The sequence below is a fragment of the Homo sapiens genome, chromosome X (genome assembly GCF_000001405.40).
Source record: "Homo sapiens chromosome X, GRCh38.p14 Primary Assembly".
Classification (NCBI taxonomy): Eukaryota; Metazoa; Chordata; class Mammalia; order Primates; family Hominidae; genus Homo; species Homo sapiens.
Window position 1 is genome coordinate 21,942,810 of NC_000023.11, and position 27,436 is coordinate 21,970,245.

Below are 27,436 nucleotides of genomic sequence, written 5' to 3' on the forward strand. Positions count from 1 at the left end.
CGTCCATGGATTTTCTTAACTTTTTTTTTTTTTTTTTTTTTTAATTCTGAGATGGAGTCTCACTCTGTCGCCCAGGTTGGAGTGCAGTGGTGCGATCTCGGCTCACTGCAACTTCCATCTCCTGGGTTCAAACAATTCTTGTGTCTCAGCCTACCAAGTAGCCGGGATTACAGACTCGAGCCACCACGCCCAGCTAATTTTTTTTGTTGTTGTTTAAAGTAGAGACAGGGTTTCACCACGTTGGCCAGGCTGGTCTCAAACTCCTGGCCTCAAGCGATCCGCCTGCCTCAGCCTCCCAAAGGGCTGGGATTACAGGCATGAGCCACCGTGCCGGTGTGTCCATGGGTTTTCTTTTATGCTTTAAGGAGGGTGATCTCAGCATGGAGCCCAAAGACTCTGGCACTTCCCTTTGTCCTTAAACCTCCTTGGCCAAATTTAGATTTAGTCTCTTGAAGTGCTGGTTCACAATAGGATGTTTTTGTTGTTTTGTTAAAGTGGGAAAAGAGCGAATGAAGAAAAAGTGAGAGAATTTTAACACTTGGGGCTGACACTGTCCAGGAGAACCATGGATGTATCGTGTGGGAGGGAGGAGGAGAAACTGACGTTTTTGAAGTTGGAAAGGTGTGGAAGTGGCATCTTAATTTAGTTGTGCAAAGAGGAAGTAAAAAGATTGACGATAAAGACGTGTATAGATCAGAATAGAACGTTCTTAAGAGGGAAAGATGAAACATAAGCTGTTAATATTTTAATTCCCAGTCTGTTCTTAAAGATGAGAAAGCTTTGATGGCAAGGCGAACATTCTAGAAAGAACTATTACGTGTGTGTGGGGGGGTGGGGAATGTGTGTATGTATGCATCTGTCAGACCTTGAGTCATTACAAGTGTTCTGGGCGTAAGAACTCCGATTCATATTGCATTCTCTTCCATCACTTTATTTGGGGTGAAGCACATCGTCCTGTCAGTATCCACATTTGAAAAATAAAGAGATCCTGGCTAGATTGGGATCTAAGTTCACTTAGTTTTTAGTAAGGGGAACTTGGTGAAAAATCGACTTGTGAGGTCTCCAGAAACACTTAATTGATAATGAGTCAAAAGGCATTACTCTTGGCATGTGAATATTGGATGTGACTCAAGGGTGAGTCAAATGCCTGTGGAGCCTGGATTCATGTTCTTTTCCCCGTTTGTCAGTAATCCTTTCTAATGTTCCAGTTCCATGATGTGATTTTAGTGGAATTAAACTTGAACCACTTAGTTATGATGTTGTTACTGTGTTGGGAACGCAGCAGCCACCAGACCACCAAGAGCAACTGTAGGTTGGGCTTGGTGGTGCTGGTTTAGTGTTGTGGCTGATGAGGTGTAACCCAGGAAATTTTTATTTTTGCTTTTAAAAAAACAACTCATCTGTGGTCATCTTGTAAGTGAAGTATTGGACTATAAGGACTCTTGAGCCCGAAAAACATTTTGTGACTTAGCCTGAGGCTAACAGGAATAAACTTGTCCCATGTTCAGATAGTTTAGGCATATCTGAGTTGGTGGAGGAAATGTGATCTGTTCCTAGCCCTATGTGCTAGGCAGGATGCCTGGGTATCCAGAGAGTGAGTGAGAGGCCCGGCGCGATGCCGCATGCCTGTAATTCCAGCACTCTGGGAGGCGAAGCGCTTGAGCCCAAGAGTTCAAGACCAGCCTGGGCAACATGGGAAAAACCTGTCTCTACAAAAAAAAAAAAAAAAAAAAAAAGAAAAAAAATTAGCCAGGTGTGGTGAGTTTTCTGCACCTGTAGTCCCAGCTAGTTGGGAGGCTGAGGCGGGAGGATCCCCTGAGCCCAGGAAGTGGAGACTGCACTCCAGCCTGGACAGTGGCGTGAAACTCTCTCAAAAACAAAACAAGGGCCAGGCGTAGTGGCTCATGCCTGTAATCCCAGCACTTTGGGAGGCTGAGGTGGGCAGATCACCTGAGGACGGGAGTTTGAGATCAGCCTGGCCAACATGATGAAACCCTATCTCTACTAAAAATACAAAAATCAGCCGGGTGTTGGTGGCCTGTGTCTGTAGTCCCAGCTACTCTGGAGGCTGAGGCAAGAGAATGGCTTGAACGAGGGAGGTGGAGGTTACGCTGAGCCCAGATTGTGCCACTGCACTCCAGCCTGGGCGACAGAGAGACTGTGTGTCAAAAAAGCAAAACCCGCACACAAAAACAGTGGTGAGTGAGCTGCTGTAACCTCTTCTTGCCATGTTGGAGTGGAAGGTCTCTAACAGGCCAGCCAGCTCTGAAAAGGTCTAGCAATCCTATGTCCATTTTTTTCCCCTGGGCTGGGCGTATCTTTTGAAGGCAGACCTCCACCAGGGTCTGTATCCTGGAGACAGCTCTGGTACATGGTAGATATTTGGTACACGCTGATTAAATAGACCAAGTTTATGTTATGGTAAAGGTGGAATGCTGGTTCATGTCCATTAGGGGAAAGTGAGATGCTCATTTACCTTGTAGAATTATGAGGATGGTCCAGAATTCAGAAACGTGGCAGATACTGTTAGGTCTGTCATTTGGACCATTGCTATATGATTTGTGCAGGGACACAAGGAGATTTGTGTCGCTCAAATTCACAAATTCTATAACCTTGTTTAATAATTTAAGAACAGAAGGCTACTTGGGAATTACGGGCTTAGCGGAGAAGGTTTGGGGCAGGGGGTTCTTTTGTACCCTTGACCCTCATCAGGGAAGCCTGTGCACCTCTTCTCAGAGTAAGAATTTTAGATGCGTGAAATAACCCAATCTTCAAAATACAAAACCCCCACCGTGTGGTATGGTAACATGTGCTTTGCTTCCCGTCCCCCCCCCCACCCCCTACAGTCTCGCTCTGTCGCCCAGAGCTGGAGTGCAATGGCACGATCTCAGTGTAACCTCTGCCTCCCAGGTTCAAGCTATTCTCCTGTCTCAGCCTCCAGAGTAGCTGGGATTACAGGCACGCGGCACCACACCCGGCTAATTTTTGTATTTTTGGTAGAGATGGGGTTTCGCCATGTTGGCCAGGCTGGTCTCGAACTCCTGACCTCATGATCCACCCGCATTGGCCTCTCAAAGTGCTGGGATTACAGGTGTGAGCCACCGCGCCCAGCTCATGTGCTTCTTTATTAACACATCAAATAACAAGATGTGGCAGCAAGGCTAGTAAGTTTCATAAGTAGAGCTGAGCAAAATTGATATTTAACAAATTGTTAGGCAAGGAGAAAAACCTGATTTTTTGTGACAATGACCAGGTGTAGTTGACAGTGTGTGATTTTTTGGCCTCCAAGCATAACTGAAGAAAGTGCTAAATTTCTATTAGTGAAAATAAGTCTGTGTGTTTTTTTCCATTCAAGTTCACAGGCCCCCTGAATTGTATCCATTGGCCCCTTGGGCATCCATGGACCCCAGGTTGAGACCCCCAGGCTGGGGAGGGGGAGGACTGAGACAGCCCGTTCCTTTTAGGGGGTGTAGGTTTCCACCCAAGGCCAATGCTGGAGGCACATGTCCCTAGTTATTCTTCAAAAACAAAAGCGGCTCTTTGAACTATTTGAAAACATAAAAGTTGTACTTAGTAATTGCCACAGGGGCTAAGTGCCCTGAGTGCTTTGTGCATTAATTTTAGGTAAATCCTCAAAATAACCCTAGGTAGGTCTTGTTATCCCCATTTTAAAGACAAATAAATAGGCCTAATCTTGAGGTTTTTTACTTTTTGAGTGGCAGAGCTGGAATTCAAAGCCATGTTTGTTTGATTGGAAGGCTGGTTCTGCTTCCACGATTCTGAAGCCTCTTAGTTTAAGGCGGTGATTCTCAATGTGGGTGCTTCCCTCCGTGGGTGACATCTGGCAATTTCTGGAGACAGTTTTGGTTGTCACAACTGGGGAGATGCTACTAGCATCTAGTACGTCCTGCAGCGCACAGGACAACTCCCCTGCGGCATTGACAGCCCAAAATGTCCATAGTGCCCAGGCAGAGAAACCCTGGTTTAAATTCATACTAGACCATTTCAGTAATTTGGATGACAGATCATCAGCAAAATTTCCCTGGTCCTTCTTGGAAGTGTCAGTTATGCCCACAAATTGTTAGGCAGGGAAGGAGGATGGGCCCTGTCTTTCTCTAAGGTTGGCACTGGGCTCTGTTAGGAGCTTGGTCATTGCTTCCTACTGAACTGAGCCTGTGGTTTGAGGTGACCTTCCCTCCCTGATTTCCTGAACCATCGCTCTTTTTAACCAGCTCCCACGCTCCCCTGTATTTGAGCTGCCTTCTGGTGGAAGCATGTCTTCTTTGTGTGTTTTAAATAGCTATAACTGTCTAAATAATAAAACCTAAACAATGTAGTTCAGATTGCATCTAGCTTTCTCAAGAGTAGAGAAAGCTTCCTTCCTCCCGCTCCTTCAGCATTATTATCCTGTCCCACTACACTTTAATCCCCCATTGTGATAACACCGCAGGCACAGACGCTGTTGCTTTAACAATGCAGCCTTTCGGGGCTGATGACTGGGAGTGGGGAATGCATGCTTGGGCCCTACTCTACACGGACTGAATCACAGTTGGTGGAGGGGGGTGAGTTCCTGGATTTTGCATTTTTAATCATCTGCCTCACAGTAATTCTGTTGCTGATTAAAGTATGAGAACTCCTCTAGTAGGTTCCTTATTTAAAACAACAACAACAAAAACTTGTCTGAAACCTTTGGCACACCTACCTCACTCAGCCCAACCAGTCAGCCTAGTCAGTCTCATTAAGTCCTGTGGCTTCTGCCTGCCAATGTTCTCAAATTTGTTGCTCATCACCTGTTCCTTACTTTAGTTTCCTGGCTACAGTCTCCCCATTTGTCTCCGTTTGGGGATGGGCCCGATCATTAGGAACTCAACAGGATCCCTGTCCCTTTTCCCATTTAAAAACTCTTCCGTGGGTCCCTATTACCCCATGGATGAAGTCTAAACTCTGTATCAACACATACAAGGTCAATTTCTACCCGGTTTTTCCTCTTCCCCCAGTATATTCCTTGTGCTTCCCGGTAGCCAGGAAGCACCTGGACTCAGGATTTGACAGCTTTGGAGAAGACTTTTTTGTGTGCTTTACATAGGAATTCTCATGCGTTAATTGTGTTTGAAAATATTTTATGGGCTGCTTCCGGGAGATCCCTTGTTGGCATTGCCTTCCTTTGGCATGCGCTTTTGCTTTGTGATTTTTTTTTTAAATGCTCTTTTCCCAACTCTGCAAAAGATTCTTAATTGCACAGGTTATGCTCTATATGACTCCAGGCTGAATAACCTCATGTTGCCGGGAATTAGTTTTGTGGGCTTGCCATTAAAAAATTGAGTAAACCACAATGATTCTTTTTAGATTGTAGTTTCCAAGTTATACCGATTTCCTTAAACCTATGGAGGTAGCATATGGTAAGATTTTAGTTTCTACTTCATATCTGTAATCCTCATCTAGTTCTCATTGGGTAGTTCAGTATTTAAAATGCTTTGGAAGGGATGACAGCTGTTTAAGAAATTGACTCCATAATCAAGGCGCTAGGAGTGACCCCCATCCTGGCTAACAAGAGAGGGGTACTTTTTCAAGTAATCTGAAGCCCCGCATGAGACATTCTAATTTAATAACCAGTAGTCAGTCAATGTGTCTTTTTTTTTTTTTTTTTAAGAAAGTCACTTTTGCATTTGCAGTGGAGGAGTTACCAATTGGGAATCTTCTCATCCCCTTAGTATGTAATTTACTCCGTTTTGTTTGAATTGGTAGTTTCAGGCCTTAGCTACCTTCTCAGGAGATAAAGATTAAAATGCTGTGTTCTCTAATAGCTTTAAAAAGTTAGAGCTTTTGATTTTGGATTTCATACCCAGAAGATTGGAGATTATGGGCTTTATAATTGCGATCACCATGGTTATGCTAACCTTTCACAGATAAGGATTAGTTATAAAGTTACTAGCATCTGTTTAAAAACGTCAATAAAGTTCTTAGTTTAGTTTTTGGAGTCTGCATATTCCAGGTGTTTTAATTCACTATTTCACTGCAGTTGTAACCTAAGCCTGCTGGTGTGCACTGTGGCTCCGACCACCATTTCATGGTATAGACTCAGTTCTTTTGAAAAGTCAGAAAACCTCCTCAATTGAATCTGCGAACCACGTATGTAAACCATGCACAAATGCTCTTTAAAACCCTTACAGCTAGGCACTTTTCCAGACCCCAGGAAAAACAACCCTGCGGCCCTGAGGTGTGGTGGGCCTGGGTTTCATTAAATTGACACTGTCATCTGTGTTCCGGAAGGAGCCACCGAGCTAGCTAGTGGTGATACTGGTGATAAATGTGTTTACGTGCTAAGCCACAGATTCAAAAGGAGCTGGTAAGAGCCAGTAGCATGTTCTAGATTCCTGAACTGACTTGACTCTGGGTAGTTTTACACACACCTTAATTTTTCCCTCTCCATGAAGGTGCTAATGATACTAAAATCCCACACACTGTGTCGTTGGGTGGAATGTCCAATAAAATGTTTGGAAGAGTATCAAATGATACATAAAATACCTAACACTAATTGCAATACTTAGGGCAGAGTACTTTGAAATTGTGCCAGTGGATAAAGATGCTCAGTTATAAAGAGGTGTGAATTTAACTTACTTGAAGGGTAACGAAAGCTCTGCTGGCAAGAGAAGAGGCAGAAAATAATGGGTTGCCCTGTGTTTTGAAGGTTGGTCTACTTTATTTAAAGGGCTTCCTCCCTAAGTGATTAAAGCAGAATTTTAAAAGGACACTTTGATTTAAGATATCAATTACTTGTGTTGCATGACTCCATTTTTTTTCATAAATGAAAATTTCTCCAGTGAGAATCCTGAGCAATTCCTAGAACACTGCTGTATTTAATTCTGAATTCTCCCTTCTAGAAGGACTGTAGATCACAGTGTTCAAACAAGACTTATGTGCCTGTGGGCATTCCAAATTCCTTTGCTGGCCTTACAGTGCAGAGGTGAATATAGAACTGTTCCTCAATCCTTTTTCTTAGAGTACAGGTTGAGCATCCCTAATCCGAAATGCTCCAAAATCTGAAACTTTGAGCACCGACATAACACAAAAAAATGCTGATTCGGGATTTCCAGATTAGGGACTTTGAGTCAGTGAGTGTGATGCAGATATTCCAAAGTGGAAAAAAAAAAAAATCCAAAACACTTTCGGTCCCAAGCATTTTGGATAAAGGATATTCAACGTGTATTTTCAGGGCCAGTGCCTTGGATCATGCTTTGGAAAACAGTAGTGGCATAGTTTTTTGTTTTTGTTTTTCAAAGATGGGGTCTTGCTGTGTTGCTCAGACTGATTTCGAGCTCCTGGACTCAAGGGATCCTCCAGCCTGAGACTCCTGAGTCACTAATGTTACTGGTGCACACTGCAGTACCTGGCTGAAGTTTTATAAATGGCTTAACACTGAATCTTTTAACTGTATAAGGCAGTAGCTAAGTGGCCCAGTTGCATGTGGAATTTTGAGGAAGATGGTCATGGGTTTCTCAGTCCAAGTGTTTGTTCCTACGTGGGGGTTTGTCTAATTTGGAGCTGGAGGCTTGATGTTGAGAAGAGAGAGGAAAGAGCTTACTATTAACTCCCTTTGGTATGAGATGCAAGAATATGACAGGACTTTTTTTTTTTTTTTTTTTTTAATTTGAGTTCTGGGATGCAGTACAGAACGTGCAGGTTTGTTACATAGGTATACATGTGCCATCGTGGTCTGCTATACCTATCAACCTGTCATCTAGGTTTTAGACCCTGCATGCATTTGTCCTAATGCTCTCCCTCCCCTTGCCCCCCACCCCCTGACAGGCCCAGGTGTATGATGTTCCCTTCCCTGTGTTCATGTGTTCTCATTGTTGGGCTCCCACTTATGAGTGAGAACATGTGGTGTTTGGTTTTCTGTTCCTGTGTTAGTTTGCCTAGAATGATGGCTTCCAGCATCATCCATGTCCCTGCAAAGGACAGGAACTCATTCTTTTTTATGGTTGCATAGTATTCCATGGTGTATATGTGCCACATTTTCTTTATCCAGTCTATCATAGATGGGCATTTGGGTTGGTTCCAAGTCTTTGTTATTGTAAATAGTGCTTAGTAAACATACGTATGCATGTGTCTTTATAGTAGAATGATTTATAATCTTTTGGGTATATACCCAGTAATGGGATTGCTGGGTCAGATGGTTTTTCCGGTTCTAGATCCTTGAGGAATCACCACACTGTCTTCCACAATAGTTGAACTAATTTACATTCCCACCAACAGTGTAAAAGCATTCCTATTTCTCCACACCTCTCCAGCATTTGTTGTTTCCTGACTTTTTAATAAGGACCATTCTAACTGGCATGACATGGTATCTCATTGTGGTTTTGATTTACATTTCTCTAATGACCAGTGATGATGAGCTTTTTTCCCATATGTTTGTTGGCTGCATAAATGTCTTCTTTTCAGAAGTGTCTGTTCATATCCTTCACCCACTTTTTGATGAGGTTATGTTTTTCTTATAAATTTAGTTCTTTGTGGATTCTGGATATTAGAGCTTTGTCAGATGGGTAGATTGCAAAAATGTTCTCCCATTCTGTAGGTTGCCTGTTCACTCTGATGATAGTTTCTTTAGCTGTGCAGAAGCTCTTTAGTTGAATTAAATCCCATTTGTCAATTTTGGCTTTTGTTGCAGTTGCTTTTGGTGTTTTTTTGTCATGAAGTCTTTGCCCATGCCTATGTCCTGAATGGTATTGCCTAGGTTTTCTTCTAGGGTTTTTATGGTTTGGGGTTTTACATTTAAGTCTTTAATCCATCTTGAGTTAATTTTTTGTATAAGGTGTAAGGAAGGGGTCCAGTTTCTGTTTTCTGCATATGGCTAGCCAGTTTTCCCAGCACCGTTTATTAAATAGGGAATCCTTTCCCCATTGCTTGTTTTTGTCAGGTTTAGGGGCTTTTTTTTTTTTTAAGCATTTTGTGACTGCTAAATTTTTAGTGGAGTTCCTGTAATTTATTTCTTTGAACAAAGGGTCTGGCTTTGCTTCAGAAGGCTGCAGGAACTGTTCAAGTAGTGGTTTGTGCATTTGTCTTTTTACTACATCTGCTCATTTTACACTATGGGGTTAGGGAAATGTAAAGAAAGAGGGGATACAACTGTGATACTGTCACAAGTAGATAACCACTTTGATGTGTGGTACAAATGGCTTGCTTATTCTTGTTGCATATATAACAATGTTGTACGTAAAAACACTGGATTTTGGAGCCCAGCTGTTGGGGTTTGAATCCTGGTTCCACTACTTACTAGTGTGTGTGACCTTGGGCAGGTTGTTAATCTATGTGCCTTACTGTGCTGGCTATACTTTGGTTACCCTTGAATAGCAGCTGTGAGAACAGACATCCTTGCCTTGTTTTTGGACCTTATGGGGAGAGCAGTCTTTTACCATTTTGAGTATTATGCTAACTGTAGGTTTTTTGTAGATACCCTTTATCAAGTTGAGAAAGCTCTCCTCTATTCCCATTTTTGTGTGTTTATCTTGAATGAGTGTTGGATTTTGTCAGGTTCTTTTTTGCATAAATTAATATAAAATGTGGGTTTTTTTCTTTAACCTATTATGGTGGATCACGTTGTTTGTTTGTTTGTTTTTTTTTTTTTTTGAATGTTGAACTAGCCTTGTATACCTGGAATAAATCTCACTTGGTCATGGCATATTTTTCTATATTGCTGAATCCTATTTGCTAATGATTTTGTCAAGGATTTTTGTGTCTATACTCATGAGGGATATTGGTCCATAGATTTCTTTTTTGGACTGTCTTGGTCTGGTTTTGGTATTAGCATAATACTGGCTTCATAAAATAGGGAGGCCTTCCCTTCTGGAAGAGATTGTGTAGAATTGGTGTTAATTCTTTAAATGTTTGGTAGAACTCTCCAGTGAAACCATCTTTGTCTCAAGATCTCTTTTCTGGAGTGTTTTTTTTCTTGAGAGACGGTCTTGCTGTGTCACCCAGGCTGAAATGCAGTGGTGTAATCTCAACTCACTGCAGCCTTGACCTCCAGGGCTCAGGCAATTTTCCTGCCTCACCCCCCTCCCCTCCCGCCCCGCAAGGTAGTTGGGACTACAACAGGTACGCACCATCATCACTGGCTAATTTTCGTATTTTTTTTTAGAGACAGGGCTTCCTCATGTTGCCCAGGCTGGTCTCAAGCTCCTGACCTCAAGCAGTTGACGCACCTTGGCCTCCCAAAGTACTGGGATTACAGACATGAGCCACCATGCCTGGCCTCTTTCTGGAATTTTTAAGCTATAAATTCAGTTTCCTTAACAGTTATAGGACTCTTCATGTTATTTCATATTCGGTGAGTTGTGGTAGTGTAGCCGGATTGGTAAGGCATCAGAGAGACCAATGGGGTTCAGGAGGATATTTATTATTTAGGTGCACCGGCCCAGTCGGATTAACATTCAAAGGACTGAGCCGTGAACAAAGAGTTAAGTTACCTTTTAAGCATTTCGTGGGGGCAGGGGGAGATCTGTGCAGGGGGGAGCATATTACAGAAGCAAGAAACAAAGACAGTTATTCAGTTAATTGAGACATGCATTACATCATTTCTTACTTTTTAAGGAAAAACATGTTTTACGACTTGAGTTTGTCTAGTGACCTTGCAGCTGCACAGCTAGAGAAACAGGGTCTTCACAATGCCTGGGAAAGGAGGAGAGATAAGGCTCACTAGCCACAGAAAAACAAGCAGTTAATTTTTAAAGGACTCCAGCTCTTTCTCTTTCTCAGCGGGAACTGGGTTTTCTTGCATACAACTGAGTTTCTGCTTACACATTCTTTAATTTCTTTTAATTCCTATTTCATTAGTTTGTGTTTTTAGAGGAATTGCCCCATTTCATTCTTAAGTTGCCACATTTATGTGTGTAGAGTTGTAGTATTCCCTTATCCTGTTGGTGCTTGCAGAGTATCCACAGTGATATCTCCTGTTATTCCTAATATTGGCAATCTGGTTTTTTTTCTTTGTAAGTCTTGCTAGAGTTTATCTTAATAATCTTTTCAAAGAAATAGCTCTTTGCTTAATTTTTTTCTCCTCTAGTTTTTATCAATTTTATTGATTTTTTTTTTTTTTTGCTGTTATCCTTCTCTTTTTGCTTTGGACTTTTCTCTTTTTCTAGGTTCTTGAAGTACTAGTGTGGATTAGGAATTTGAGATTTTAAAGTGGAATTCGGTACTCTTAAGTATTCTCATTCTCTAGTATGCAGTTTCTGTTGATACTAGTTGATAATGTTCGACGTATTCCTTAAAAAGCAAGAGTCTTAGTTATGTTGGTTGTTAGCTGTTCTTTTTTCAACACAATAAATTGCTAACTTGAATATAGGAAATATTCCTCAGATTATTCTAGTTTCAAATGCTAAGAATGTTCTGAAGTCCTTGGACCAGATTCTGCTCATCTGGCCTGTTTTTGTGTGACCCTCCAGCTAAGAATGATCTTTACATCTTAAAAGGGTTGTAAAGCACACACACCAAAGAATATGTGACAGAAACCTGATTTAGCCAGAATGCTTTACCACGTGGCCCTTTACAGAAAAAGCTTGCCCGTTCCTGCCTTTAGACCATCTAGGTGCAATGATTTTGATTGCCCGTTTCAGAGCCATCTGGAAAAATTTGGAAGTACAGATTTCCAAGCCCTTCACATGGCTGCCTTCTCGTCTGGAATCCATCATAGTGCACGGCCATCTCTGTGTTTGAGTAGTTTTGACTTGTGTCCTCTGTCTTTCATCTTTATTCTCCAGTGGCACTTACTTGTCCAGCACCTCCTAGGTGCTGAGTAATCTCCTTGGGGGCCCAGTTGAATGTGGTCTTGGCTAATATACTCTGGTAAAGCCACAGGAAGGGAAGGCAGAGGGACCTCCTCAGCGACATGTGTATCAAGTACGGTCTAATATAAATGTGATATTTTTTTTTGACATCACACAATTCCCAAAGTCCAGACTGTTTTATCTTTGGAAATGCTATTTCATTGTTGATACACAGCCTGGCATAGATGCTCAGACAGAACCCTTGAAGTATTGTTTTTTTTTGAGACAGTCTTGCTCTGTTGCCCAGGATGAAGTGCAGTGGCGTGATCTTGGCTCACGGCAACCCCTGCCTTCTGGGTTCAAGGGATTCCCTTGCCCCAGCCTCCCGAGTAGCTGGTATTACAGGCACCCACTACCACAGCGGGCTAATTTTTATATTTTAGCAGAGACGGAGTTTCACCATGTTTGTCAGGCTGGTCTTGAACTCCTGACCTCAAATGATCCGACCGCCTTGGCCTCCTAAAGTGCTGTGACTACAGGCGTGAGCCACTGCGCCCGGCCTTGAATTATTTTTAAACACAAAAATGGTATGACCTGTAAGGGATTCTGCCCGGTTAAGGTTAGTGAGAAGAAAGCTGGATGTTCATGATAGTGCTACAGTGCTCAGAAAGCATATTTCATCCTTCCCAGATAATAAAACTGGCAATCCCATGGTTTCTACTTTGGCAAAGAAATCTTGTTTCCCCTTCTGGACGGAGCTAAAGGAAACCATTGTCATTTGACCAGGGCCAACCTGTGTCCTCTGTTTCAGCCTGCCCCTCTGTGATGAGGGGGTGAATGTAGGTTGGTGGCTGGGGCCGTCTCCACACGTCACATGCCAATTTTGAACTAAAAGTAAGGGCTGGTCACTTTACCTGGTCCAGATGCATTCCTGAGTCATCTCCTGTTCCCTGACCTCAAACACTGCAAGTCCCCTCTCAAAACCTTCTTTTTGTTACTTCTCTAACTTCTCCTTTCTGTTGGGTTGTAGCATGACCCCCACCCCCTGCTTTTCTGTGGGTTCTGATCTCTTTTCCTAATCCTCTGCCTTGGTTCTCTTCCACCGCTCTGGGCCAGAGTTCCTTCCTCTTCTCAAAAAACATGGTCCTTAAGCTGACGGGGCCCACTGAAGAGCATCGTAGGATACCTTACGTTGTTTGCATGATTCCTTTCAGGAGAGGTCAAGTGGCCTGGTTATTCAGTGTCTCATAGCCACAAACTAATGGATAATATTCCTTCCAGATGAAAGGCAGGCTTTAGTATACTGTCTTTTGTCTGTGCCTTGTTTTCTGAGTCTTGACTCTCATACGGGTTAAATCAGAAGGGTGAGGATGGGTGAGTTTGAATCACTTGACAACCAGCAAGATGCTGCCCTCCCCAGTCCCAGTGTCTGTGGGAAATGCTCTCCCTTGCAGTGGGAATGACAAGGCAGGGCAGTGAAATAATTAGCAACACATTTAAGTTATGCTATAACTTAGTGCATTGAGTTTTAAGAAGTAGTCATTGTGGCTGGTACTCTGTAAACATGCCCACATGGCTTCCCTTAGTGCATGTTTGCATGAAAAGAGCTTGGGTGTCATTTCTGTGTTGGTGTTGTGTTTTTCTTCTGTAGTTAATTTTTCTTGTCTGGTTGCTCTTCTCTGTGAACATCAGAAACCATTCTATGAAAAAGTCCTGTAAATTTTTCACGCCACTGTCTCTGTTCTGTCACCCAGGCAGGAGTGCAATGGCAAGATCTCAGCTCACTGCAGCCTCTGCCTCCTGGGCTCAAGCAATTCTCCTGCCTCAGCCTCCCGAGTAGCTGGGACTACAGGCACGCACCACTGCACCTGGCTAATTTTTTTTTATTTTTATTTTTATTTTTTTATTTTTTGAGATGGAGTCTTGCTCTTGTCACCCAGACTGGAGTGCAGTGGCGCGATCTCGGCTCACTGCAACCTCCGCCTCCTGTGTTCAAGTGATTCTCCTGCCTCAGCCTCCTGAGTAGCTGGGATTACAGGCATGCGCCACCACGCCCGGCTAATTTTTGTGTTTTTAGTAGAGACGGGGTTTCATCATGTTGCTCAGGCTGGTCTCGAACTCCTGACCTTGTGATCTGCCCGCCTTGGCCTCCTAAAGTGCTGGGATTACAGGTGTGAGCCACCGTGCCCGGTGTATTTTTAGCAGAGACGGAGTTTCGCCATTTTGCCCAGGCTGGTCTCCAGTGATCCTCCAGCCTCAGCCTCCCAAAATGCTGGGAGTACAGGCGTGAAACACCACGCCTGGCCCCTGTCTGTATTTTGCAGCCATACCTCATGGAGGCCTGAGATTGGCTGCAGGCACTTTAGTGTTAGGAAAGCTGTGTGGGAGCTGGGCACCAGCCACCTCACTGTGCAGTGACAGTGCCTACACACCGCAGCCACTCAGATACTTGGTAGTCTATGATAGATGGGGACAGGTAGAGAAGACCACTCCTTGCAGCCCCTTTACCTGATGCGTGTTGCATCTGAGCCCGTGCCTGGTGGGCAGCTTGTGGTGGAGGAGGAGGAGAAACCAACTACTTTTTTTTTTTTTTTTTGCATAAGAATGTATGTATTAGTTTTCTATTGCTGTACAGTAAGTTACCACAAATTTAGTCACCTGACACATAATCACAGTTTATGTGGATTAATAATCTGAGAATGGCTCAGCTGGGTCCATTTTTATTTTATTTATTTATTTTGAGACAGAATCTCTTTATGTCACCCAGGCTGGAGTGCAGTGGCACCGTCTCGGCTCACTGCAACCTCCACCTCCTGAGTTCAAGCAATTCTCCTGCCTCACCCTCCCAAGTAGCCAGGGCTACAGGCGCCTGCCACCACACCCGGCTAGTTTTTTTGTGTTTAGTAGGGACGGGGTTTCACCGTGTTGGGCAGGCTGGTCTCGAACTCCTGACCTCAAACCTTGGCTTCCCAAAGTGCTGGGATTACAGGTGTGAGCCACCGTGCCCGGCCTTCTTTTTCAAATAATGGCTTTTTTTCCTCTGGGTATATACCCAGTAATGGGACTGCTGGATGCAATGGTAATTCTACTTCTAGTTCTTTAAGGAATCTCCATGCTGTTTTCCATAGTGGTTGTACTAGTTGATATTCCCACCAGCAGTGCAGAAGTGTTTCCTTTCACCACATCCACGCCAACATCTATTATTTCTTTGACTTTTTAATTGTAGTCATTTTTGCAGGAGTAAGGTGGTATCTGATTGTGGTTTTAATTTGCATTTTCCTGACAACTAGTGATGTTGAGCATTTTTTCATGTTTGTTGGCTGTTTATCTTTTGAGAATTGTCTGTTGCCCATGTCCTTTGCCCACTTTTTGATGGGAATATTTGTTTTTTTTTTTTTTCTTGCTGATTTATTTGAGTTCCTTGTAGATTCTGGATATTAGCCCTTTGTCAGATGCATAGTTTGTAAATATTTTCTCCCACTCTATGGGTTATCTGTTTGATGATTATTTCTTTGGCTGTGCAGAAGCTTTTTAGTTTAATTAGGTCCTATTTATTTATTTTTGTTTTTGTTGCATTTGCTTTTGGGTTCTTGGTCATGAATTCTTTGCCTAAGCCAATGCCTAGAAGAGTTTTTCTGATGTTATCGTTATCTTCTAGAATTTTTATGGTTTCAGGTTTTAGATTTAAGTCTTTGATCCACCTTAAGTTGGTTTTTTGTATAAGGTGAGAGATGAGGATCCAGTTTCTTTCTTCTACGTGTGGCTTGCCAGTGGAGAAACCAACTTCTGAGTCTTCTCCGTTGCCTTGGCAACCTTGCCGTAAGTGGGATTCTGAAGGCTCAGCGTGTTAGTTTGGGATTTTTGGGGAACAGCTTTATTGAGATATGATTCATATGCTATATAACTCCTTTATCGAACATGTACAATTCAGTGGCTTTCAGGATATTTGCGGTTGCGTGACCATCATGACAATCAACTTTAGAACATTTTCATCACCTCAAAAACAAACCCTGTGCCCCTTAGCCATCACCCTTATTCCTCCCCGCATTCTTCCCAGCCTCTGGCAACCACTAATCTGCTTTACATCTCTATGAGTTTGCCTTTTCTGTTTTGTTTTTTGAGGTAAAGTTTTGCTCTTGTTGCCCAGGCTGGAGTGCAATTGCGCCATCTCGGCTCACCGCAACCTCCGCCTCTCGGGTTCAAGCGATTTTCCTGCCTCAGCCTCCCAAGTAGCTGGGATTACAAGCATGTGCCATCACACACGGCTAAGGATTTGCCTTTTCTGGACATAACAAATAGAATCACTTATTTCACTTAGCATAGTGTTTTTAAGGTCCTACCGTGTTGTATGGAGCGTGTATCAGTACTTCGTTCCTTTTATGCCTGAATAGTGCGTGGATAACCACAGTTTGCTTCTCCATCTATAACCTGATGGAAGTTTGGGTCGTTTCTACTTTCTGGCTATTGCATATCATGCTACTGTGAACATCTGTGTCAGCTTGGGTTGTGTGTCATGAGCTTCATTTCATCATCATGCAGCTGTTGTAAAAAGGACTAGACATAGGGCTATAAAGCCAAGCTGTTAAGTAAGGCATGCCAAAGGACCACCTGCTTGACCTAGAAATTCATTAAGCTTCTAATATCTGAGAAGTCTAATAGGCAGATCCTTTTTTAAAATTAAGTTAAACTTTTAATTGTAAACTAGAATTTTCATTTGTGAAATTGAAGTCTTTTTTGCATATCACTTGATTTCTGTAATCTGGACCTGCTGCCTGTCAGTCTTCGTGCTTTTGATGGACTTAGCACATTCTGAGTTCAGAAGATGCTCTCAGACCCTTAGGCAGTGCTCAGCCATGGGCTTGGGTGAAAAGGAGACTTGAGGGATGCCGCGCTCTTTGTCATTCTTTTCAGAGGGGTTATGCCAGTGGTGTTGGTGACTTCTGAACAGATACTTCTTTAACTTGGTATAATTTATGTAAATTTTAGTGTACCAGTTCTGAGTTTTGACCAATGCATACAGTTGTGTAACCACCACTAGTATCAAGATTAGAAACATCTGAACGTGGTTTTAAAGCAGCTACCTGATTTCAAATTGGATTGGAATCCAGTTTCCTTTCCTCTTTTAGGTTTAGGGGTCTATCAAGAAAAATCAGAAAGCTGCTTTATGTGTGAAGGGACATTGTGCACAACCTGAGCCTGGCTGTCAGGTTATCTGACGTTAGGATCTGGGGTTTAGGGGAAAGGATGCCTGCGTTTGTGCTTCCCCTTGCGGGGGAGTTGCAGACTGGCTCTATTGCCAGCCAGCTCGCACACCATCTTCCCGTGGAGAGAGTGCAGATCCCTGAAAGGAGCAGGCAAGAAGGGGCCGGGTATAAGCCTGACCAAAGGTGGGCCCTTGGACTTAGGTGGCAAGTGGTAAGCATGGGCGGGGAAGGCGTGAGTGACTGTCTGTGTGTACATCCGTGTGTGTGTGTGTAGGGGCACTGAGAATAAAGTGTGAGTGAGGGCTTGGAGCTCTGGAAATCTCGGCAGTTCTTTGGTGGCTGGGGCTGCAGTTGCTGGAGCAGTAGGTGGGCTGGAGGTTCGGCTTTGGGTCTTATCACTTGGCATGATGCGATGATGGGGATGACTAAACACCCCTTGGAGCCAGTTCTGGGAGAGACCTAGGAGGGAAAGGGGCTTTTGATAGTGAGGTATGAAATTTTCAGCCTTCATAACTAAAAATATGCTTGGCGAGAATAGAAATTCATCTCCCAATTTCACAAGCCAGGTGCTCCTTGACCATGAGAGAGCTGAAAGGAATGTGAATGTAAATCTTCTGTTCCTTTTTTTTTTTAATGTATAGATCATGTATACAATAAGGTAGATTATCAAACATGTACAGCAGAAGGCTCATTTCAGATCAGAAGTTCTACATTCAGTGAGGGTGGTAGAAATGAAAACATTTTATTCATTTTGCATGTTGCCTATATTTTCTAATTTTAAAAATACACATATTGCTTCTTTCTGTATTAATAAAAGCTTATTTTAAATGACCGTACTAATACAGTTTGTACTGTGGTTAAAATATACATGACCTTGACCATGAGAGAGCTAAATCTTCTGTTCCAACCGCCTCATTTTGCAGAGGACAACGTCAAGGCTCTGGCCTGTGGAATCTGATGGCTCTGCCTGAGGGGAGGGGTGTTGACAACACACAAGACAGTTGGAGTTGTGTAGCCTTCAGAAAGCCCTGTGTGCTCATGGCCTGAGTTTTCTTAGCTAAAGTTTTTGAAGTTGAAAAAACAGCCACAAGCCAAGGTCACAAGTAGAGAGAGGTTTTTTTGTTATTGTTTTTTGTCTTTCTGGATGTGTGAGAATTGCATATTTCCTTAGGGCAGCCTCTAATGGAATTTAGTTTGTTGAGGAGGATGTTAGATTCTCAAAGCTGAAGGAGGAGCAGGAATATTATATGCATGTCTTTTTTTTTTTTTTTTTTTTTTTTTGGTGCCAGGTTCGATTTTGATTCAGAGTGACTCCCTGGCCTAGTAAGGTTGGCTAGTACAGCTAATCTACTTTATGCACATGGGGCTGCATACCATGTGGATCAGTGATTAAATAGCAGTACAAGACCATGAGGGAAGGAAGGAACTGATGTTGATTCTGGGTTCTATATAGGAACCCTACAAAGTAGTGTTTCTACTTTATGAGGAAGTTAGGTCTGTAAGTGAAAAGTCCTGGCCAGTGAGTTTGGTTGGGGTAGGCTCTGGTGGGAGGCTTGGGGGAGCCTGTTATGGGGAATGTTAAGTGGCTGGTGATGTAACCATCGATGAGAGTAGGGAAGTAACAAGCCTGATTTTGATCCAAGACTTGTGATTGGAACAGTGCTGGGAGCAGTTGCACGGGAGGCAGGTTCCAGCTAGATACACAGATTTGTGCTTTGGGCATCTGGAGCTGATGCTCCGGGTCAGAAGAATGAGTTTCTCCAAGACGGGCCTGTAAATGGTTCCCTGGTAGAAAATGAGGCAGGAGGGTGAAGCTTAGGCCTTGATTCTTTTTTTTCCCTTCCTGTCTTCCCTTCCCTTCCTTTAGTAGTGGTGTATTTAATTTGGACCAGTTTATTCATTTTAAGTTGTTGTTGAACAAACACACAAAGTAGGCAGTGGGCTGGAAATGGGGACATTGCGTTGTTCAGTAGACAAAGGACACGTTTTGCCTTGGGAGAGGTCACTGTGTTTCTGAGCGCTTTGGAAGGCTGACTGATCTACTAGTTACAATATGTTGTTCTAGCCTGGCCATTGAAGTGAATTTTCAGAGAACTTCTGCCAAAGAAGAACATTTCATTGGCCTAATTTGGATGACTATGTCTCCTTCAAAGTAGTGTGATGAGCTCTGTTAGCATTTGAACCTGTCTTCACATTTTCTTCTGATTTGTGGACACTTACGACCTTGCTATCCTGTGTTCTCAAGTTTGGGTATATTCTGACCTCAGGCTCGTTTTCACCTGTGTATAGAGCATCTAGTAGTTCTCAAGGGATTGTATTGCCCCTCTCCTGCCCTTGGGGCAGTTGGGGTGTGGGGTCTTTTATTGACAAGCAAGGGCATTCCTGACATTTAGTGGGTATGGCTGGGGTTACCAAAGTCCTGTGAAAGACAGGGCAGCCTTTCTTACCACGTTGTTAACCTTACCCCTGATATCAAGGAACCCTGATAGAGCAAGTCTGATTTGTTGGGTCATTTTACAAGTTCCATACTAGACAGGCATAAAGGTTGAAATTTGGAATAATTACAAAGCATTTTCTGGGGCATGTGACAGGTTACCCATGGCTTCAGTTAGTAAAGAGTTCTAACTTTTTTCAGCCCCTCTGTTGAGCATTTTCTATAACTTTTTGGTGAGTTGAGTATAACTGGTATGGAAATGGTAGGGGGTTTCTTTTCCTTTTTTTGTGTTGGGTGATTTAGATTAGTGGTTCTCAACTGTGGCTGGACATTGGAATTTCCCAGGGAGCTTTTGAAAATACTCATGCCTGGGGCCCACCCCCACATTTCTACTTAATTGGCCTAATGTGTGGCATTGGAATTTTTAAAAATTCCTCAGGTGATTATTATTACTTATTTTTTTGAAATAGGGTCTCACTGTTGCCCAGGCTGAAGTGAGGTGGCACAATCATGGGTCACTGCAGCCTTCACCTCCCAGGCTAAGGTGTTCCTCCCATCTCAGCCTCCTGGGTAGCTGGGACTATAGGGGCATGCCACTATGTCCGGCTAATTTTTGTATTTTTGGTAGAGACAGATTTTACCACGTTGCCCAGGCTGGTCTCGAACTCCTGGGCTCAAGCGATCCTCCTGCCTTGACCTCCTAAAGTGTTGGGATTACAGGCATGAAACACCATGCCTGGCCTCCCTGGGTGAATGAAAATGCACAGCTAGGATTGTAAACCACTGGTCTAGATGTTTTTGAACCTCTGCAAAGATACAGTAATAAAGGATGATGAATTCAGCCAAATAAAATAATTTTTTATTTGCCACCAAACATTTATTGAGCACCTGGGATCAAGATGACTAAGTGAGCCACCTCATGCTTTTGCTTTGTTTTCACTTTAAAAGCCCTGATTTGGAAAGAGATACTACTGCGGAGTTTTCAGCTCTAGCTCCCCTTCCTGGAGTGTCTTCCCCAAGGGCTGGGTGACAGGGAGGCCCCAAATCAGGAGGAAGGTGAGGATGAAGGGAGATGAATGGTGGGCAAAATGGTGGTGTCCCCATAAGGCCCTGCAGACACCTTCCTGGCAGGGCTAGCATACTCAGATGCCCACAGGGACCAGGCGGCCGCACAAATGAATAGGGCTTGTGGGTAAATGAGCTTCCAGAAACACGTTCAGCTTTGGCCTGTTTTTACTGAACTTGGCGGGTAAGCCTATAGTGTGGGAACAAGTAATACTTCAAATCGGATTTCTTGTGTAGTTTTTCCTTCAGTTTGAAACCTGGCCGGAGGACTTTCTTTAGCCCACACGGTGCCTTTCTGTTAATTGTGCCAGTTAGAAAAAGGGGATGGCCACTACACTGGGCTTGGCCAGCAGTCAAAGCCTTTGCATAGATCAGACAAAGACACCCCCTTTCCTTGGCCTAAGGGATGAGGTTCACCCCAGCTCAGCCACCCAGGCCAGGGTCCTCGTTCACTGCACAGCCTGGTCAATTACACGCAGGGTGGCCTTGTCTAGATTGTTCGTTCACCAGCATGGGGGTTCGGGTTCTGTTTTGTAATGTGCCAACAGAACCATCTTGAGGCCATTTACCAGGAGTGATGATTTGTTTTATATGCTTTCAAAACAGAAAACATCTGTTCTAGCCAAGGAGGGATTGCTTAATTTCAGAATGGCTCTTCAGATTCAGGGAAAGTTCTGCCTGGCTCAGTACACTCAAGCCACCTCCACAGTGGGCTGGCCAACCACACTTCAGTGACAAACACAAACTGAACAAGGTTAGTTTATCTTACCAAGTTTGAAATCAGATTTTTTTTTTTTTTTTTGTGAAGTAGAATTCAGTCTTAAATGTTACAGTTCTGGGGATATAATTCAGACCTTCGCTTTTAATTTCCTGAAACCAATTTCAGAATAGCAAAGCAAGCTAGATTATTTTCTGCCAAACGACTTTCCCAAAGGCACAGTTTTGCTAGGAACAAATGAGAGCTTAAGGATTCATTGGGCCACCGCTGCTCGGTGTTTATAGATGCTTGTGCTGCTGTGGGAGTGTGACATGGATTCTGCGCTGGTAGTTTCTCCCTGATGTGGGACTTTTTCTTGGAGGCTCTTTCATTTTGGCCATCTGTAGGGCTTGACCACCCTGACATCCAGCCCTACCCAAGTCCTTGCAAGTTTCAGCTGCATCCTCACTTTGGCTAGCCAGACCCCTGCATTCTGAGGGGGAGGAAACCACTTCTTTGGGGGTGAACACCTGTTGGTGACTTTTGGAAGGGGTTGCTCTAGTTCTTAGGGCTGTCTGAAGTCCCGTTGCTTTTTCTCTTCTTCCTATCTCAATTGCTGATACCCCAAGGGTCTCAGGGCTGTGGCCCATTTATTTCTACCTATACCTGTTTGGGGATTTAGGGTTACACTCTGTCATCTAGTTTTGTTCCAGATGTTGTCCATGAGTTTTGGCTGGGCTATCAACTGCTCTGCTTGACAATTCCGAATATTAAATTATGTTTTCACTGCCACTTTTAGTATTCTGTTTGCTATTGTTAAAGTTGAAAACGAATTTTGGGCAGGTGTATTAGCTTGCTAGGGTTGCTGTAACAAAGTACTACAAATTGGATAGTTTACAATGGCAGAGATGTATTCTCTCACAGCTCTGGAGGCCAGAAGTTCCAGATCAAAACGTGACAGGCCCATGCTTCCCCAGAAGGCCCTAGGGGAGAATCCATCCTTGCCTCTTCAGCTTCTGGTGCGCTTCTAGCTGTCCTGGGCTTGGCATGTTGCTCTTAATCACTCCAATCTCTGCCTCCGTCTTATGTCACCTGCCCCCTTTTCTCCCTGTATCTTCTCTTCTGTCTCTTATAAGGGCACTTGTCATTGGGTTTAGGGTCTGGGTACCTGGATAATCCAGATGCTTTTATCTCAAGATCCTTAACTTAATTACATCTACAAAGACCATTTTCCAAAGAAAGTCACATCCCCAGGTTCTGGAGATTAAGATGTGGATATATCTTTTTGGTGCTACCATTATACCCACTACAGTGGGAGAGAGTGAAATCTTCTGATTTTTAAATGGCAACTGATTTACACTTTTAAAAAGTCTGTGCAGGGACTGGGTGCGGTGGTCCACGCCTGTAATCCCAGCACTTCGGGAGGCTGTGGCAGGTGGATTGCTTGAGCTCAGGAGTTTGAGACCAGCCTGGGCAATATGGTGAAACCCCATCGCTACCAAAAATGTACAAAAATTAGTTGGACATGGGCCGGGCGCGGCGGATCACAAGGTCAGGAGATTGAGACCATCTTGGCTAACACAGTGAAACCCCGTCTCTACTACAAATACAAAAAAAAAAAAAAAAAGCCGGGCGTGGTGGCGGGCGCCTGTAGTCCTAGCTACTCGGGAGGCTGAGGCAGGAGAATGGTGTGAACCTGGAAGGCGGAGCTTGCAGTGAGCCAGGATCACACCACTGCACTCCAGCCTGGGCTACAGAGCCAGACTCTGTCTCAAAATAAAATAAAATAAAATAAAATAATAAATAAATAAAAAAAAACAAATAAATAAAAATTAGTTGGGCATGGTGGTTCGCACCTGTAGTCCCAGCTACTTGGGAGGCTGAAGCAAGAGGATCACTTAAGCCCAGGAAGCAGAGGTTGCATTGAGCCGAGATTGCGCCAATGCACTTCAACCTGGGCGACAGAGGGAGATCCTGTCTCAAAAAATAAAAAAAGTCTGTGCAGGCCAGAATAAGTCATATCTGTCCACTTTGGCCTCTAAACTTCCCGTTTGTAGCCTTCATTCAGTGGCCTTGGGAACACAGTTCTAAGTCACTAGAGATAGACTCTTTATGCATAGTGAAAAAATCCTTAACTTCCCAGTTCTAGTTTCGGCACTACTTAGTTTATGGCAGAAATTCTAATGTAATTTTCTTGGCAAATCACACTGCAATCAGCTGTGACTCTTTGTTTTTTTCTTTTACCTCTGTTCAGGTCACAGAGATGTTTCATTTTGATATTTTTCCCCTCACAGGAGCCAGCCTTCAGAGGGCTGGTGGGAAAGTAAAGAGTAATTCCTCTTGTCATATCTTGGTTCTTTGTTTTACATTTATTAGGGAATGCCTGCTTTGTAGATAGAACTAGAGAAGAAAAAATTGCATTTACCCCTTATTCTAAGTATTGTAATGTTGGATGTTCTTGAAGATCCTGGCTTCAAGTGAACCTGCGGAGGTTAATGTACTTTACCTGGGAACACTGATTGCACTTTTGGGAGTAGGACACTGGGCAGGATGGGAGACAGGAGGATTGGCTTCTGCGACCATGGGGGTGGGGTGGGGAGACCGACAAGCCAGCAGGTTGTCCCATATGGAATCGTTGTCCAGTTTCTACCATTTAGAGCTATGTTACTGAGGATTACTGTTGGATATTTTTTTCCAGTTATAAAAGCAGCACATCCTTTTTGTAAAACATGGGGAAAAAAAAGCTTGTCATTTATATTACTCATCAGCAGTGGACAGGTATCCCCTTTCTAGTACCATGTGTCCTCATTAATTTATTTAACCTGAAGTGGAATCTCATTTGTTGTACTTGAATTTATTTGCATTTCTTTAATTTCTGCTTAGGGTGAATATTTTGTTATGCTGTCTCTAGGCTGAATATGTCTACATCCTTGGCGCAGCTATTTGTGGTCGGCTTTTGTGTTCTTACCGTCGTGTAATCTGGTGGTCTGCGTTGCCTTTCCTTGCAGGGTGGAGAATGTTTATCGCTCATGTCATGACAAGGGATAAGTGACACTGACAACTTTGTTCAGGTTTTTTAATTTTTATTTATTTATTTATTTATTTATTTATTTATTTACTTATTTATTTATTTTTAAGCTCAGTCCTCAAACTGTGCCTCATTGGCCTTCCTTCTGAACGTTTCTTTCTGACCATCTTGCCTTCTTCCCCTTGTTCTCCAGCTGATGGTGAGACCATTCTAAAAGGCCTCCAGTCCATTTTCCAGGAGCAGGGGATGGCGGAGTCGGTGCACACCTGGCAGGACCATGGCTATTTAGCAACCTACACAAACAAGAACGGCAGGTGAGCAGTCTCCAGTGCTGTTCTTCATACCTGGTCACTTATGAGCAGAGAGGGTGACAGAGTGGAGGATGGGGGTGGCATCCGGCATTTTTTTTTCTCCTTTGACATCTTTTAGGATGGGAATGGAACTTGGTGCTTCTCAACCGTAGCTGCACATCAGAATCTCCTGGTAGCGTTACTGACCACAGGTTCTTAAGCTCTCATGTATATAGAGATTGACAGGAGGCCAAACATGTTTCCCAGACAAGTTTTTTGTTAAGACTGATGCCCAGAGTGGGCATAAGGGAGGCAGCCCAGGAAAAGTTTTGTGGCTTACTCCCCCAAGGGCAGCTGCAGGTGATGTTTTGAAGGGAGTGACGTGAATAGTTCATGAGGTAGATGAGTGTCATTACAGGTACGCACCCAGGGAGTGGTGTGCAGACTCAGTGAGGCCTCCTGCTAATGTATACACCCTGAAGTGGCTGGTGAGCCCCGCTCTTGGCGGGGACTTTAGCGTAATAGTAAGACGGGCAGGATCGCTCACTGGGCTCCTGCAAGCGGTAGGTCAACTCCCTGGAGTAAAAAGTTTATGGTAGAACTCAGCCTCTTAAGTCCCTGGAGTAAGATTTACCATAGGAAGCTGCTTATCTTAGTGTTTTCCAGGTCTCTGGTCAGCAGAGATGATATCGGAGGGGCTGGGGTCCAGATGGATGGGTTGGTTGGGGTGCCCACCACCTGTGGGGACCCACTAGTTTGCAGCAGAGGCCCGTAGGGGGCATGCCGAGGCCTTCTCGCTGCAGGATGCTGAGCTGCAGATGCCCTTGCTCAGCTCGAAGTAGGGTGGGTGCAGGCTGAGGTTGCCTGCTCTAGGATGGCCAGCAGCAGTGCTGCAGGGCCCCAGGGGCAGCCCGAACAGAGCCTCAAGCAGCGCTTTGCCATCTTCCTGGCTCCTAGAGCCTGGTATTTCTGTAAGTAAGTGTGTTATTACGGTTGGGGGGAGCCCAGGTCCCTTCTCTACTCTGTTTCTGGAGAGCTTTCACGAAACACTCGTGCATTTCCCCCAGAAATTGAGGTCACAGGGCCTGGACATCTGGATTTCTCCAAAGCCCCAGTGGTTCTATGTGGCCAGGACCAAGAACCCCTGGTGGCATAAGCAGTTTGAAAAGGCAGGCAATGATCTCCTGGGCCCCTACCGTAAGAGTTCTTGAAGCAATAAGTGGATCTGCGGCAGGGCCCAGATTCCATTTCCAGGAAGCTCCCGGGGGATGCTGATGCTGCTGGACAGCTGACCACACTTGGAGTAGCACTGTTATGACTGATGATCAGCTACCGCAGACCATGGTAAAATGCAGAAGAAAACCTAAACTAAGAAATGACTGATAACAAGAAACCAGTGCGTTGAGCTCTTGGTATTTCCTTAAATCTTGGTTTGTATTATATCTGGACTGGCTTAGTATGTAAAACTACTAATTAAGATTCTTAGTAATTTGCACTATTAATTTAGAAATGTAATAGGGTGCAGTATGTACTGCTCAGGTGATGAGTGCACCAAAATCTCACGAATCAGCACTAAAGAATTTACTCATGTAACCAAACAACACCCGTTCCCCAATAACCTATGGAAATAAAAATTAAAATAAATAAAAATGTGAACTCCAGGATGGGGTATTTTCGATGGCTTTTATTCTGTTACCTCAGTGGGTACCCAGTACTGGAATTCCACGTGGCTTCCTTAATGTCCCACTTTTTCTCTCTTTGTTTCTCTATTAAAGGAAAAAGTACCCACCTCCATGATATTCCAGAGACCTAGAGATGAGGGAAACCTGTACTTTTTGAGCTCACTGCCCCTTCCACTATTCTCTCTATAAGTCTCCATGGCCAACCCCTGTGGCATTAATTGGTGTTCTCTATCCTGATACCTCTCAAAGACATCCTAACCCCTTCTTCCCCAAGCCCAGGCTTGTATTTCTAACTGTGTAGCAAACCTCCCTGTGTGTTTAGTCGATACCTCAAATGTATCTAAGATGATGATTTCTTCCTCATATGAACACCACCACCAAACCCTCCTCTCCCCTGTGTCCTTTTCTTCCCTGCTGTGACCCAGTTGATGGATGGTCTCTTGGAAGCAGAGGCTGTAGCTGTCCTAGAGCCCTCTGGCTCCTGCAGGATTACACTGAGCCCCTCCCTGTACCTGCCGCCTCTCACTGTTTTTACTGTGGTCCATCTTTTGGGGACTACAGCAAATTGGAACTCATCATCCACCGCCTCCGGTGGCAGGCTCCTCAGCCAGCACCAGGTGAAAAGTTGCACTTCTTATCTCCTAAAGGCCTTTGCTGCTGGGCCCTGCCTACCTCTGTATGACAGTTATTGAAGTTTCTACCATAGGCACCAATTCCAGTTGTACAGGAGACTTAGAATTCTTCCCAGAAGGGGTTTTTGAGTGACAAGAGCTGTTCGGAAACTGCTTCGAAAAGCAATAAACAAAAACAAAAACCCCAAATGAACTGCTTAGGGTTTTCGTTGTTGTTGTTGTTTTTGAGACCGAATCTTGCTCTGTTGCCCAGGCTGGAGTGCAGTGGCACAATCTTGGCTTACTGCAACCTCTGCCTCCCGGGTTCAAACAGTTCTCCACCTCAGCCTTCCAAGTGGCTGGAATTACAGGCACTCACCACCACATCCAGATAATTTTGTGTTTTTAATAGAGACGTGGTTTCACCACGTTGCCCAGGCTGGTCTCGAACTCCTGGCTCAAGCCATCCACCTGCCTCGGCCTCCCAAAGTGTTGGGATTACAGGCATGAGCCACCGCGCCTGGCCAGCTTAGTTTTTAAGAGTTTTCTACCTGGTCTCCTTCCTCTCTCACTTGGTCAACTGGTACCCACCCCGAGGTGCCTGTCCTGAAACCTCACCTCTCCTACCCATGCATGGGCTTGGGGAAAGGACCTGAGCCA

General features: G+C 44.0%; 1 protein-coding gene across 4 annotated transcripts in view; it reads left to right on the forward strand.

The window, feature by feature from the left end:
• SMS (spermine synthase) overlaps nucleotides 1-27,436 on the forward strand; it is a 54,129-nt gene that overhangs the window by 2,101 nt on the left and 24,592 nt on the right. For 3 of the 4 annotated variants that reach the window (NM_004595.5, NM_001258423.2, XM_011545568.3), the window contains exon 2: nucleotides 24,387-24,507. In NM_004595.5, the coding sequence (NP_004586.2) occupies nucleotides 24,387-24,507 (121 nt within the window). Of the gene's footprint in view, nucleotides 1-17,046; nucleotides 17,181-24,386; nucleotides 24,508-27,436 lie in introns of those variants that run through there. The other variant, XM_005274582.3, reaches the window with a different exon arrangement.